This window comes from Homo sapiens, chromosome X (assembly GCF_000001405.40).
Source record: "Homo sapiens chromosome X, GRCh38.p14 Primary Assembly".
Lineage (NCBI taxonomy): Eukaryota > Metazoa > Chordata > Mammalia > Primates > Hominidae > Homo > Homo sapiens.
In genome coordinates, this window is record NC_000023.11 from 15368526 (window position 1) to 15384716 (window position 16191).

At 38.8% G+C, this 16191-nt stretch overlaps 1 protein-coding gene and 1 long non-coding RNA gene across 2 annotated transcripts in view; both read right to left on the reverse strand.

The window, feature by feature from the left end:
- VEGFD (vascular endothelial growth factor D) overlaps positions 1–15888 on the reverse strand; it is a 38818-nt gene extending 22930 nt beyond the window's left edge. Inside the window, exon 1 of the mRNA NM_004469.5 lies at positions 15332–15888. Within this exon, the coding sequence (NP_004460.1) occupies positions 15332–15421 (90 nt within the window). The 5' untranslated portion in view covers positions 15422–15888. The remainder of the gene's footprint in view (positions 1–15331) is intronic.
- PIR-FIGF (PIR-FIGF readthrough) overlaps positions 1–16191 on the reverse strand; it is a 145719-nt gene that overhangs the window by 22935 nt on the left and 106593 nt on the right. The window lies entirely within an intron of this gene.

Sequence of the window (16191 nt, forward strand, 5' to 3'; positions counted from 1 at the left end):
TACATTTTCAAAGGGTTCAAGAATGGTTGTTTGTTCCCAATCGGCTTTCTGCACTGGTTGATTTTTGTATAATGAACTTTATGTTATCCACTTGGGTAAGACAAAAATAACAATTAAAAATGTGTTTATCCCAAATACATACTTAAACCATTGATTTCAGTGGTTTTAATTACTAAACCTTTGCCAAGTAAATTGCTCCTAATTTCTTCCTATTTTCTGATGGAAGTGCTAATCAAAATCAAAATAATTAAAAGGTTTTCATCAAGAGGAAGAAAGTGAATGAAGCAGGGTTACCAGATCTCTGCTTTTTATTACAGCGGCAGCTTTTTTATGGTAATTAATTCAAGACTACTAGCAATTTCACTCTTAAATAACAAATCATTCTCTAATTTCTTGGCTACCACAAGCCAGCTTCTAAATTGGGAGGCTTAAAGTCTTTTTAATAAGACTTCACCATCATTTGAATGTATGCTCCTTTCTGTGGTACAATTTCAAGGGTAGTCATTTCCCCTTTTGCTAATTTCTAAGTTCACACAGCATTCTCCCCTGAGGAAGCATGAGCATCTCCATAGCTTCCTAAGTATTAATTTAGGTCACGGGTGACCAAGATGGCAGGCAAGATATTTGGAAAGGTATAGTGGTGGGGTTTGTAGGAGAAACTTGGAAGTGTCCCACGTTGTGAGGAAGTCAACGGCCTTCTGTACTCCTACCAATTTCATCTCTCAATTTCCAGCCCCTCTCCTTCACCAAAAATACATATCCAGTCAAGTAACACATTCAAAGAATGAAGAAAGGCATAATTTGGGGATATCAACGAGCCTCAGGGGAAAAAAAAAACAGCAAGGGGTTCACTTTGGTTGGGCATAGAGCAAGTTTAGAAGTGGGGAATCTGGCAAATAAGTTAGGAAGAGGGGCTGGTGAAATGAGATACCACTTCACACCCAGTAGAATGGCTATAAACAAAAGGACTGACAATACCAAGTGTTGTAATGGATATGGAGCAACAGGAACCCTCACACAAGGCTGATGAAACTGTAAAATTGTATTGTTGCTTTGGAAAAGAGTTCAGCAGTTCTCTAATAAGCTAAATTTATTATACAACCAACTAATTCCAATCCTAAGTTTCCAGCCCCTAGAGACAGAAAATAGATTATTGGCTGCCTGAGGCTGGGAGTGAGAATGGAGGGTTCATTGCAAAGGGACATAACGGACCTTATATGGATGATAGCTATACAACTCAGTAAATTTCCTAATATACTTGAATGAAATTTTATAGTATGTAAATTCTATATTAATATAGTTGTATAAAATTTTTAAAAAGAGGAAGGACTGGAGGCATGAAGACCAGGCTACTTTGATCCAATTTGGGAGGCAATGAAAAATGTTGCATAGTTGAACAATGGAATATTATTGGACATCCATTTTATCAACTTGCTCTTTCGTTCATTTCTTCTTGTTTTGACCTTAGTCCATGCTGTTTCCTTTGCCTGGAATGCCATTCACTCTTTGTCTAACTAAATCTTTCTCAGCTTAGATGTTACCTACTCAGGGAAACCTCCTCCATAACTCCCACCCCTGCCTAGGTCTGGTCCGTCACATGGATTTCTAGCACCCCATCCTTGTCCTTCACAACGCTACCAGTAACACTAATGAATTGTGTCATTTCTTGTTATCTGCTTGTCTTCCCCACTAGGTTGTAAAAACCACCTGAGCAGTAATGGTATCTGTCTTATAGCAATAGTAAGAGCTGAATAAATATTTATTAAATGTATGAATAAACAACTTGATTCACCAAAAGCTATAGAAAAAGTAACCCTGAGATTATTCGTGTATTCAAAACTACATCACTACATCACTTGTCTTTTGAATATCTTCTTTCAGTTCTCATTCCAGGTCCAAAATAAATGCCACTTCTTCCATCAAGCATTTTATGAAGTCCCTAACTTAGACTATATTATTTATGAACACATTGTATTTCCCTTCCTAGACTGAGATCTCTTTGAGGGTAGGATATGTGTCAGATTCATCTTTTTAAAGTAATAAGCACGTAATACATATCTGATGAAGGAATTTATAAGTAATAAATACATACATGTATCTGACAAATAGCAATTGGGCCCAGGTTTGTGTGGTCTGTTGCATATTTTATATGTAGTACTGCCTCTCAAAACTTAATGTGCATACCTGGGGATCTTGTTAAAATGCAGATTCTGACGCAGTGGGTTTGGGGCAAGACAGGATGCTGCATTTCTTTTTCTTTTTTCTTTCTTTCTTTTTTTTTTGGCTGAGTACAGGGAACTTTATTGGTGGTACATGACAAAGTGGGGCTCCCTAGGCCCTTCCCTCTTCAGGGGGTCTGCATGGAAATTGTGAGGAGAGGAGATCCTCAGTGTGGTGGGGACTGAGCGTGGCAGGGATTCCCAAGCAGCTGAGGGCCTCTCTCTTTCTCTCGTGCTCTCACTGGGGCTGATGGTCCTGGGGTGTTACTCCTTGGAGGCCATGTGGACCATGAGGTCCACCACCCTGTTGCTGTAGCCAGATTCATTGTCATACCAGGAAATGAGTTTGACAAAGTGGGGTCTAACAAGTTCCCAGGTGATGGCAATACTGTTGATTGGCTGACTGCACTTTGAGAAGGGTTTAAAGCAGGGGTTCACACTGTTAATTTTAAAGCTAGCAATCTATAAAGTGCACCAGGTTAACTTGAATAAAAACACTATCACAGCCAGGTTTGCCAGTTTGCAGAAACTATCTAACTCTTCTCTCTCACATCAACATTTGTAAAATTAATGTTATAGTGGAAAATAACATGCAGGTTAAACAAGAAAATTTTTATCTTTTTTTCAAGAATATAGCTGGCAATCTTTAAGAAAGATGATATATCCTAAATAGTTTTGCAAGTAATTTTCTTTTTTCTTTCTAGCATTTGATGTCTAGATAATTTTGGACATCTTTTTATTAGACCATGTTTCTGTCTTAATCTTAAACCTGATAACACTTGATTTGCCTTCTATAACCTATTTATTTCAAGCATTCATATTTGAATTTCTTTGGGAAGAAAGTAAATCTGATGGCTCACTGATTTTTGAAAAGCCTGAATAAAATTGGAAAGGACAGAAAGTTAGGAGAACTGACTAGATAAACTGCTACAGTATGAAATTGGTATTACAGGAGGGAAAAGTAAAATTATTCATTACCCAAAACTGACTTCTTACAGCTAGTGCATTGTGCTCATTCCAAATTCAGCAGCAGTTCTATCAGTAGCGCCATTGAACCTGGGTATATTTATGATTTCTTTCAACGTTAAAAAGAAACATAGTGTTGCTCTTTTTCTTAAAGCATCAGTGAAATTATGGAAAATTACTTAAAAAATGAATACATCATAACAGTAAAATTTATTATGAGAGCACGTAGTATGTATCTGTAGCCCTAACACACGGGATGAACATTTTACTACTACCCAGATTTGTGTTGAACGAAAACATCGTGTATTGGAAAGGAGAATTCAACAATTAACTGTTGAAATTGTGAGATTGATGCTTAAAAAGATTTACACCTATTTACAATTTGGGGACAAAAAGGCAGGCTTCATTTTTCATATGTTTGATGAAAACTGGCTTAAGATATTTGTAAATAGAATCAAGAGCAAAACTGCAGAAACTTGCACATTGGAAAGCGCAACAAGTTCCTGTGATTGCAGTAAAAATATTTACTATTCTAAAAAAATGAGAATTGAAGACTTAGCCAGTCAGATGAGGTTTTTCATGAACCCATTGTGGAAATTATTGGATTAACTGAGCCAAAGTGGTTATGCGTTCTCCATCTATTTAGTTAGCACTTTGTATCGTTATATACAATTTACAATACATGTATAACTTGTAGCTATAAACATTTTGTGCCATTAAAGCTCTCACAAAAAAAAAAATAATAAAGCAGGCATTCAAAATCTTGGCTTCTTCTTGAATCTACCTGGGAATAAGCTTCAAAGAAATACTGATGCTCGAATCTTAAATCTCACAGATTCTCATTTTTTGGGTCTGGGCTGCAGCTTTGCCATCAGGATTTTTTAAAAAAAAACTTCCCAGGTGTTAGCCTTAGAGGAAGATAGGTGAGGGCTATATAGGAACTCTCTATATTGTCTCTCTACTACTAATTTAGGGCATGAGAAATGCTGTTTTTAAGTTACAAGACCCAGGTTAACTCCTGAACTTCATACAAGTCCACTAGTCTTCAAACAGTCGATGCATGCTCAGAAATAGTCTTAGTCTTTAAATCTATTTGATGTATACCTTGGGTTCAAAATATTTGTATGAGTATCTTGCTGACCTGGATTTGTAAATCCTTTTCCTATCTCAAGATACCTGACCATTTGCAGGTCAGCTCCCAACCTGTACGACTTTTTCAAGGTTGAAGATCAACAATATCGCTTTTCAGGCTAAATAGCATGATGAAGTTGGCTGCCTTATATGATGCCATCCTAAATGACAGACTAAATTGCCTCTCAAATTCCCCAAAAGCCAAACCAACCAATTTTTCAAAATAAAATTAAAGATAATAGGTACTGCTTTAACCTACTGAATTCAACAAAAAAGTACAAATTATAATCTTTTCAAAAGGCAACACTGAAAGGTATTTGAAAGAAGATATGAGAATATAAATATACATGCCAAGTGGAAGAGGCTTTGGTTTGGGAGTACCTAGCCGGTTCCAATGCTGGTTTTGAGCTGTAAGGCCATCAGCAAAGAAGGTTTAAGGGGGGACCCTGGCTACTTTTCTCAAAGAGCTTCAAAAAGCTTTTCTTGAGCCATTCCAATCCCATGCTATTAACAATCCTCTTGTTCTATATATATGGAAAAGGAGGCCAGCTTTGCTAGATTCATCCCTGGACCTCTAGAGAGCCATGGGTCTGAGACTATCCTTCCAAGGCTTTAAAAAGCTGTTGGTGCTATTTTCTTTGTCAAATTGTGTTGGCAATATGCCTTCAGGAAGCTTGGTGATAAAACGGTGTGATGAATAGAATTTGTATATTTAGAATACCCAGAAGCTTTAGGGTGAGTTATGGAAGGGACACATTTTACACAACTTTCCCTAGATTTGCTTAAAAATTTACAAGTGTTCCCTGGGGGGCGTGGTTCTCTTCTTACTCACCCTGGAGTTCAGGGACATTGCAGTCAGCAATTTCCCTTTGCAGTGGGTTTGGGGAGGTGGATTCGGTTGCAATACAAATAGTTCCATGTTCCCTCTACCTCTTAGCAGCTTCTTCTGTTTCACTGGAAGAGCATTTTGCATTTCCTGTTTAACCTGATGGTTCAAGCTCAACCAAAACCACCAAATTTTTCCTGGTTTTGGGGTCCAAGTAGCAATGTCTCACTCCACTCCCGGCCTTCCTCAGCAGATGTTCTCCCTCCCCCACCTGTCGAGGTATCTTCCCAGATCAAGTTAGATTGGTGAGTCTGAGCTGAAGGTTTGTGACTTTGCCTCCCATAGCTCTCAGTTGGAAATAACATTCCCCAAGATGAAGCTTTGCCTAATATAGTAAACCACTCTGTCGTCTGGAGAAACAGCTTACTGGAAAGAAAAAGCATAGATTTGAATTGTTCAAAACTGGCTTTGAATGGTATAACACTCTGGAAAATGTGTTTGCAGTTTCTTATAAACATATGCTCACCATATGACCCAACAGTCCTACTTCTGGGGATTTTACCCTTGATAAATGAAGCCTTATGTTCACATAAATACATGTACATGAATGTTTGTAGTAGCTTTATTCACAATAGCCAAAAAACTAGAAACAACTTATGTGTCATTCAATGGGTGAACGGTTCAGCAATCGATGTAATACTACTCAGCAATAAAAAGGAATGAACTACTGGGACACTGGTAGAATCTCAAAGGCAGTATGAGTGAAAGAAGCCAATCTCAAACTGCTACATACTGTATGATTCCATTTATATGACATTCCCAAAAAACCAAAATGACAGCGAACCAAAAATACAAAACGACAGTGAAGGAGAACAGATCAGTGATTGCCAGAGGTTGGGAGGCTGGGAGGAAGGTCTGACTGTAAAAGGATAACGTAAGTGAATTTTTGGGGGGTGATGGAATAGTTCCGTATCCTAATTATGGTTGTGGTTATATAAATCTATACATGTGTTAGAATTCATAGAACTACACACCAAAAGGGAAAAAATCCATTTTACTCTATAAGTTAAAAAAATAAGCTGTCTTTGAATCCAGGCACTACCTTTTCTTTTTCTTTTCTTTTTTTTTTTTTAGCTATTTGACTGAGGATATGGTATTTGACTTCCTTAAGGCTTGGTTTCCTCATTTATAAAGCAGCATTGTTAATAATAGGTCACCTCATAAAGCTCATGAAGAGATCATATGTGGTCATATGTAGGAAAGGGTCAGGTATATGGTAGGCACACAATAAATGTTGCATTCCTTTCTTTCCTTCCTCTTTCCTTTCTTTCCTGCCTCTTTCCTTTCTTTCCACACTTAGGTGTGTCCTATGTGTTGGGGTTTAGAAGTCTGTGTTTTAGGGCCCCTGATATTCCTTAGAAGCCGGACAGGTGAGCTTGAAAAGAGCAAGACACGGCAACTCCATAGTAAATAAACATTAAAAAATTTTTTAAAAGACAACTTTCCCAGTGTCAACCAAAGACAAACTTTTTCTCTCCACCTTGCCTCCATCTCCTTTTTAAAATGGTTCTAGGAGGTATTTTCAGATAGAAGATGAATTTTAAGGTATCTGCTCAGGCTTTAAATGTCTTTAGAAGTGTGTAAAGAAAAAAACAACCCACATTTTACATTTTGATGTTTTGTTATTACGGTCTGACTTTAACTAGAACAGATGACACCTGATGGTATAGGGTGTACTAACTAGGGCAGGGAGAACGCACACTTGCTAATAATTATTGCTGTAGCTATGGCTGCTGTGGCTGCTCAGATGGAACCTGCCAAGGGTCTGATCTTGCTTCTCTGAAATCCAGAAACCTGGCCATTTAAGGTTGGGGTGGGCTCATCTTTCATTTCAGAGGCCTCATGCTACCATTGGTGGTTCTGGTGGCTCTTTTCTTTATGCAATTCTATATTTAAATGAATATATATGAAATCCAAGTTGTTTAATTAAACTTAGACTGAGGAAAGGAACTACAAATGCAGGAAAAGAGTGTGTGTGTGAATGTATGTGTGTGTGCGTGTGCATTTGTGTGAGTGTGTGTGCATGGCTGTCTGGGTTTTTTAAGGACATACTAGGGGACTAAATGCCTGGGACCTCCACATCCTCCAATTTGATGAAGACTGCTTGTGGTTTTCTCCCAGCCAGATCATCTAGCACTGCGGGAGATGGCCATGCCCTGCCTTTATGTGTTTGAAATCTGTGCTCCACTCAAATGCCTCTGTTCTCACTTGACATAACTGTGCTTAGGATATGTGGGGGCAGATGGGTGTGGGATGGGCTTGAATGGCAAGACAACCCCAGACCCTCTAGAAGTATGCTCTGAATAACCCCAAGGGGTTTCTGAGGTCTGTTACAGTCTATCACTGATCTCCAAGATCAAGGGCCCAGTGTGCCACCCAAAGCCTTTATGGTGATTAGGCTATTGTTAAAAACATTTTCATTTCCACTCCTGACTCTCTGAGGGAGGGATATATTTCCCAGCCCTACTGACCAATAGGACATTACAAGACATGATGCAAGGAGAGGCTTGAAACTCACATATGATTGCACGTTTTTCTATTTCCACCATCATTGCAAGCACATGCTCCTGCTAGCCCACTGATCAAAGGAGGATGAGAGACACCTGGGGCTGACCTGCACCAAACCTAAGCCTTGAGCCTTAATCCTCTGACTCCCAGCTGACTTGGAGACATAAGTGAGAATAAGGTAGTGATGTTTTAAGCCACTGAAATTTGGACTGCTTTGTTACACAGCATTATTGTGGCAATAGCTAACTGCTACAGCCCTATTCCAGCTAAAGTATAGCATAATCCATTGGATGGGAAAAAGGATCCTTATGCAAAACTTTATTGTCCCTTCTACAAAGCAGCCTTGCTATGCCAGCGGCAGTCAGCCCAGAATACCCTCTTTCACATTTCTTCCCTAAGGATCTAGTGTCCCATATCAAAATCCACTTATCTCCTCTTCCTCTTCCTTATCAACATCCTCTGCACTCTCTAAGATGCCCAATCATCCCTAGTCTTGCTGTGACAATGTACTTATAAACGAAGCACACCATTGCAAAGTTGTTTTCACTTTTTCATTCCACTCTGTTCTTTTTGTGAGTTTCTTATTTAGGGTGTTTTTTTTAGCATATTCATTCAATCAAAATTACACTCTTTCTAACACTCTCCATAATGGAACAGTAAGTAACAGCAAGAATTTGCCATAGGGACATTCAACACATGTTATTTTCTCTTTCCAGAAGCAATGTTAGCCAAACCTAGATTTCAGGAAACCAATACTTATCTCCAATATGTGAGTGTTATAGTTACTTAGGAATACTCAGTGAATGACAAAAAGAGAATCAGCATAAAAATTTACATTACTAAAGTTTCAGGCATAAAATTATCCTTCCCACTGGCCAAGTTGAACTCCCTGACTGTTAGTAAGACATGCAAATACTTAAGACATCTTTATTTTATAAAAACATCATTTCCACTCATATGCCTGGCACATGGTAGACATTCCACAAATATTTACTGAGATGAATATGTGTCTTTCCTTTTCCCAGGGAGAAGATGCCTCCTGAGAAATAAACCTGTCTTCCTTCAGCACACGTTACCCCATTGACCAGCCATGGTTGTTTCCCATCTTCACTAAAGTTGTTCTGAATGTGGTAATGTGATTTCCTAAGCAAAGTATACGTTCTTCCGTGCATTAAAGGAGGCATGACACATGACAGAAATCAGTGAATTTTTTTTATTCCATCTCCTTCTACTCCTCCCAAGTTGTCTCAATACAATTCATTTTCCAGCACTGCTGTAAAATTGAGAATGTTTTTGACATTCTACAGTCAAAGGTGTGTTCAGAAGCACTTAGAAGTCACCAATGTGAAGAACTCACCATGTGTCACAGTCATTAATACGGTTTGTCAAATATTTCCATCTCTCTGCCTTCTGAGCGCATGGTGGGATTGCACTTCCTGGCCCTTTGTGGCTAGATGGGGCAGTGGGTCAAGGGGCTGCAACTAGAAGTAATATGTGTCACTTCTGGGCCAGAGAATTTAAGTGCCAGGGTGAGGCGCTCTCAGGCTCTCCCTCCCTCTGTCATAGTGATTCCTAACATTCAAGATCGGATACTCAGCCAGCTTCATCCCCATGTGGATTTGACCCCAGATGAACCAGGCTGGTCATGTGGTATAAGCAATAAATAAGTCTCTGTTGTTTATGAACCACCAAGATTTCGGGGGTGTTTGTTTTCACAGCATATCCTGGCCTAACCTGATAAAGTATCTGACCAGAGTATTTTGCCATAATTTACCATGATTTTACAAACAACCTAACATAAAATGAAAGCATAGGTAGCATTTCTAAGGCTCTCAGGGATGAAGGAAAACATCAAGATGTTGAAGTTTTGTCCAGACCCCTGTGCAGCCAAATGCTACTTTGCTCATCTCTCTTTCTGTTACCAACAGGCTGGAATAATGGGCTCAGATGACTTCCTTCTATACCTCTGGCTCCTAAAAGGGAACGCCTTATAGGATGGCTTGTGCCTGGAAGGACAGTGGAGAAGTCTTTGATACATCCACACAAACCCTATCCTATGCCCACAGGAAAATAGCACAGGGTGAATATACTGCCTTAAAAATGCTTTAGAATTTTTTTTAAATCATGAAGTCAGACAAGCCATCATGAGAGTAGATGTTGGAGATGATTTAATGCAGTAGTTCATATCCTGATCCTGGGTATCTAAAAATCCTGAGGTCTAGTCCATCAATCAGTCAACAAATACTGTTTTTAGTATCTACTCTATTACATACAGGCTTTTCACTGGTGATTGGGATGCTGCAGTAAACAAGACAATTAAGAGCTCCTTTTCTCAAAAAACTTGTATTCTAGTAGACGGTGACAAAGCAATAAATGTATACACAGGCAAATAAAACATGTCAGGTATGGATGTGTACCATGATGAAGATAAAACAGTGTAATAATTTATATATAACACAATTGCCAAACTATGACCCATGGGCCAAATCTAACCTGCAGCCTGTTTTTGTATGGCCTGTTAGCTAAGAACAATTTTTTACATTTTCCAATGGTTGAAACAATTTTTTTTTTAATTTCATGATGCAGGAAAATTACATAAAATTCAATTTTTAGTGTCCATAAAGTTTTATGGGAGCACAGTCACACCTTACATGATCTTCTCTGGCTACTTCTCCAACCTCAACAACTGCACTTCTGGCCTCCACTCACCCCACCTCCAGCTGCACCGGCTCCCTGGCTAATACCCAGACATCGAAGCCAACTTGCTGCGCCCACCATGGCCACTGCACTGATGGTTGCCTCTGTCTCTCTTATTACCTTCAGGACTCTGTAGAGACATAACTGAATCAGAAAGGTCTCCTCTGATTTATTCAGTACTGTATCCGCTCCCCCTACTTGATTTTCTTCATAGCATTTATCACACCTGACATGTTACACATTTGCATATTGTCTGCCTCTACCCATCACACTTGGAATGCAAATTCCAAGAGAATTGAAACATTGTCTTATTTCCTGCTGCATTCCCAGCCCCTAGACTTATTTCCTGCTTCATTCCCAGCCCCTAGATCAATGCCTAGATATATTGGTGCCCAATAAATACCTGTTGAAAAAAATAAATGAATGAATTGTCAAATATTGGAAAGCTCTAATGAGAGACTAGGCAGATTCTTTATGAACTAGGACATCACAACCAGCTAAGGCTTTCATGATGCAGTAGCAGGGGGCCTCAGGGTGTGTTTGCTGTATAATGCCCTAGTGTCTTGGTAGGGACTGCAAGAACTAGTGGCAAGGAAGACAGAAGAGTGAACTTACCACCAGAAAAGCAAGGGAAGAAGAAATGCTTCCATGTCATCTTTGTCTCATCTCAGTCACATTCCCAATTATATACAGTTTCCACTCTCTCTGTTCATCCTAAGTTGTAGAAAAAAGTTGAGCCTAGAAATGTTCTCAGAAACAATTTTACTGTCATTTGTGTGCCTATTTCTGTAGCACCTCTATCCAATTGTGGTAATAATAAATGTATCTGGGAGTCCCAGATCTTATTACCTCAAGTTCTACATGGAATCATGTGTGTGGACAAATACTATATTCTCATTCCAGAAATTGTCTCTGGGATTTATAGTAAAGGTTTATCCACAGGTCTAAAACAGGATTTTTATGTTAAGAAATAAGTCATACAAGGAAGTACTATATTGAAGATGTAAGATATTGAGGATTCTATTGTATCCTGGGTACCAATAATACGCTATAGTGATATAAAAGTTTCAGTCACCAGTTATAAGTGAGTAACTGGATTAAAACAGATGTGTATAGAAGCATATAATTCAACACACTTAACTACAAGGTCATAAATAAAGAAGAAATTAATGGGAAGTATTTCAGATGTCTTTTGTGCCAAGGACTGTGTCTGACAGAAAAGTGGACAAAAGCTTGCTGGGCCATTTGACCAACATCAAAGTCAATGGACTTCCCTGTACATGACTTTGGAACTGGAAATCGGGCAGGGAGAAGGAGTGGGACTGCTTCCTGGAATTAAATATGGAAAATACACCTCAGTCCTTGTTATTTGATTCACTGTAGAGACAATTTCAGGAGAAGGCAAGTAACACAAATGTAAAGAAGTCTTGTGAGCCATGTGGCTTCTCATGAAAGAAGTATCCCACATTCCTGTGGATCTTGGACTGATTCTAGTCTTACACAGAATGTGAATGACTCCATCACCCACCAATATTCTTCTACCAGTGTAATTAAGAAAGAGGGTGGATAAAAAAAGACAGTACACAGGGAAGATAAAGCAGAAAGAAACAAATTCTGTCAGAAAAAAGTTGTGAAAGCCTACTATGGCCTGGTATTCCTTTGTTGCAATAGTGACATGTCTTCATTAGTGACATTGAAAAGATTTATGAAGGCTGGCTTTCCCCAGCATCTTCAGAAGACTCACAGAATTTCTGGGGGACAAGAATTGTTTATTAAATAAACCAGAAATAGTGCTGGCCAGAAGGCCAATGTGAATGAGAGAAGAGTGAGGATGTAGATACTTATTTACCAAATGTCCAGAGTGTCTACCACATTGTACTTAGGGCTGTCACATACAGATATGTCTATATGCATGGAGCACCCTAGAGTTGTGCAGTGCACATCGTGTACAACTGTATATGACTGTCTGAGCTGTATTAAAAAGCTGGAGAAAATAGAAACAGAAATAAATTCCACATCTAGGCCGTAATCTGATTATATTAATGAACGATGCATAGGTACTGGGTTAAGCTTATTTCTAGAGGAAAACGTGTTCTTCTTAGACTGAGAAACTTAACAGCTAAATAGTATACACAGTGGATTTGAAATCTTAAGTTGAGATTTTCAAACAGATTTGTCTCAGTTCACATGTTCCATGCACTGCTGACTCCAAACAGCTATCCTTGCAAACACAAGTGGTAAGACTAATGAAATTAGGAGGCCTTACACCCAAATGGCATTAAGCACAATCGTCCAGAGCACTAGTAGCTATTTCATGATTGCTACAGGAAAAAAAAAAATCTTCACAGATACCTAGAACTATCGTAGAGGCAATGCTAGTCTAAGCTGGAAAACTGGACAATCTTCAAAGCTAGAAAGTGAAAACTGGGCTGGGGGTGGCTGGAGGACAACCTAGGAGCAAAATTGGCATCACCATCCATTCTGGAAAAGAGGTGGTTAGAAGAGGGGAGGGTGAGGAGAAAGAAATACATATGGACCAAGTACCGAGGAAGACCATGAATTTCTTATAATAAATAAAACATTTTATTTCAAAAAGTAAAAAAAAAAAAACAAAAAATTCAAATACCACCACCCTAAACCATTACCACCATGAATATGTTTTCACACTACATTTTAATTTTAACAAGAAGAACTTTAACATTTAGAAACATTATTTCCTCTTAGATTTTCTTTTCTTAAAAGTTGGGGAAAAAAGAAAACTATAACCAATATTATATATCTCATTATCCCTTACCACTCAGTCATATCTATGCCAAAACTTCTGTTTAGCTATAGGCAATCCTTTCCTTCATATCAGAAATAATTTAATTGAGCGAGGGGTAGGGTGGATATAAGTTCAGTATATGTAGCTTCACTTTTTAAAGGAAATTCTGATATATTCTGAAAAAAAATTGCTAATCGTATTAGTAAGTATATAATGCTGCATCCTCCACGTGTAACAACTTGTTTTCTGTCACATGCAAATTCAGCTGCTTTCCTTCGTTACTCCATTCAACAAATTTATATATTAACAGTACATTCAAAGCATTTAAAACTTCACAGTGCCAGCCGGGCGCGGTGGCTCACGCCTGTAATCCCAGCACTATGGGAGGCCAAGGCGGGCAGATCATCAGGTCAGGAGATCGAGACCATCCTGGCTAACACAGTGAAACCCTGTCTCTACTAAAAATACAAAAAATTAGCCCGGCATGGTGGCACGTGCCTATAATTCCAGCTACTCGAGAGGCTGAGGCAGGGGAATCACTTGAACCCGGGAGGCAGAGGTTGCAGCGAGCTGAGATTGCATCACTACACTCCAGCCTGGGTGACAGAGTGAGACTCCGTCTCAAATAAATAAATAAATAAATAAATAAAACTTCACAGTGCCCAGGACACCTGAGACATTCTTGGTGCTTGTGCTCTTTGAAAGAGCTGAGCAACCTAAAGAATATGACTTATGTCCAACAATTCAGTCTCCTTTATTATACCATCAGATAAAGTGATGTTTTACAAGGAAAATGGAAATATTTTAAAACTCGAGGAGCCCAGCACATCTAAAGGATTTCTGTTTCATGAACTTACGAAAAAGCTGGACAGTCGGAAAAGTCTTACTTGCTTCAAACAAGTCAGACCGTTTTCTCCTGTTACCTATGCTTACAGTCAGATTCCCATTTACCTACAATCTGGCCTTGAGATCCAATATCAAGGCTGGTGGCAGTAAAATGGAGCCAAACACTGTGATTTCTCCCATGTAAATTTGGAATTTGAGAAGTTAGAAAAGTGCTGGCTGCCAGACAAGGTGACTTCCCACTCACCTCCAGCTCAGTGTTCAACATTTTTAAATATCAGCCCCCACCCTCGCCAGGCCACCAACACCAGCCAGGAGCCTTTGAAGACACTTTCCCCCTATGCAATTTGAATGTATAACGTATTTTAAACTACATACCATATGTACTGTATGTACGTCTGTGCGTGATGTATCAAAAGGGTAAAACTTTTTCATCCCTCCACGAACCAATTTTCCCCTGCTGGGGGCGATATCACCCCTGTTGAAAATGCACGTCCTAAACAACAGCTACAAAAACTCAAACTCACATTTAATTGTCTTTTCAAGGCCAGAAGTTCCTAAATCAATAATGATTTAGCACCACTTCAGTCAAAACAATTACATCCGAATCATTTTCAAAATAGAAGCTTAAAATATATATAATCCATGAAATGCATAAAATTGGGCTAAGTATTGTTCCAGCAGTCAGCAACATTCTGGTTAATTTTTTGCATTACTCTCTGTTCGTTAAGCTCTATTTGATGCTTGCTCACAGAACCAAAGATTTGATTAGTGTTGAATTTTACACCTTTCAAGAAGCGAAAAAACCAAACACTCTCTGAGAAAACATTTTTCTGGATGGCAGCAATTGGTAATTTGCAAAAGCAGATAGAAAATGTTCATAGAAAGCACTGCAATTTTCAATTTACCAAACGAATAAACTAACCTCTGCTGCTCACAAAGACCTGAAAATAAATGGCCCACAAAGTTATCAGTCATAAAAACAAATCAATGTTTCATTAAAAAACCACTGTGCCATCTGCATATGCAACCGAGGAGAAACTTCTCCATCCAAAAAGATTCCAGACTGCTCATGTTCTACCATAACTTCAAAAAACAACCAACCCCCACCCCAGCATTTTCAAATACTCATGGCCAGAAGTTTAATAAGACTAAGAAACAGAACAGTCACCAAGAAATGCAGGATATATCCTGTCCAGTCCACTACTAGGATGGTTCTGCATTTTTATATTGTTTCAAAAATAGTGAGGGCAAAGAAAGTCCTCTGTATGAGCCAATAAAAAGAACTTCATCACATTAAAAATTGAGCTCACCTACCTTCACTGGTCCATGTTCATTACTGGAGCCCTGCACCAGCTGGACGTACAACATCATGAAAACATTCACCACTACCCACTCTCTGTACATTTTGAATATTTCAATATCCACTGATTACTAAGCAGTTGACATCAGGCAGCTAGAGAAAATTGTTTCAAAAGGCATTCTCCAGAAGGAAAGTTTGAAACCTCAAAACTTCACACAGAAAACCAAATAATCAGTTCTGATCAAAATCCAATGAAATTATTTCAATTAGGCAAGGTACGCTTTTTTTGCACAATCTTAGGGGTGGGGAGAGAGAGATGAAAAAAATCAAAATGTTCTCCAAAAATAATCAGAAGGTGGACATGTCTTCTACCTGAAATTAGAAAGCACTCTAAATTTACTTCATGTCCAGAAAATTAAAAAAATCTCTCCAATGTATGCCGCAGGTTCTAGTTGCTTTGTAAGGAGGTGGTGTGGCCACCAATGCTTACAGCTACAGAAAGCTGGAACCCAACTCTGGATTGAAACTTTTTTGCACAACCTTCATGGAAGCTTGCAGAAGCATGTGTCTTAAATCTGACACAGATTTTGGCAGAAAATGCAGAGAAGTCTTGGCTGTAATCCTGTTGCGTCCCTACCAATAGCAGGGCAGTTTTAAGAACTGACTCAAATGTTCAGGGCTGCCGTTATTTTAAAGCAGATAACCTGTAACATGAAACCCCAGCACATAGCTTTGACCTTTGTATCTCAGTGGGATTGCTTAAGAAGGGACCTCAGATGCTCATGCATCTGCTGCCAATGACACACAGAAAGCAATCAAATATGATTTTTAAAACCTGCACATGCACAAAAATAATAAAAACATCCATCCATAC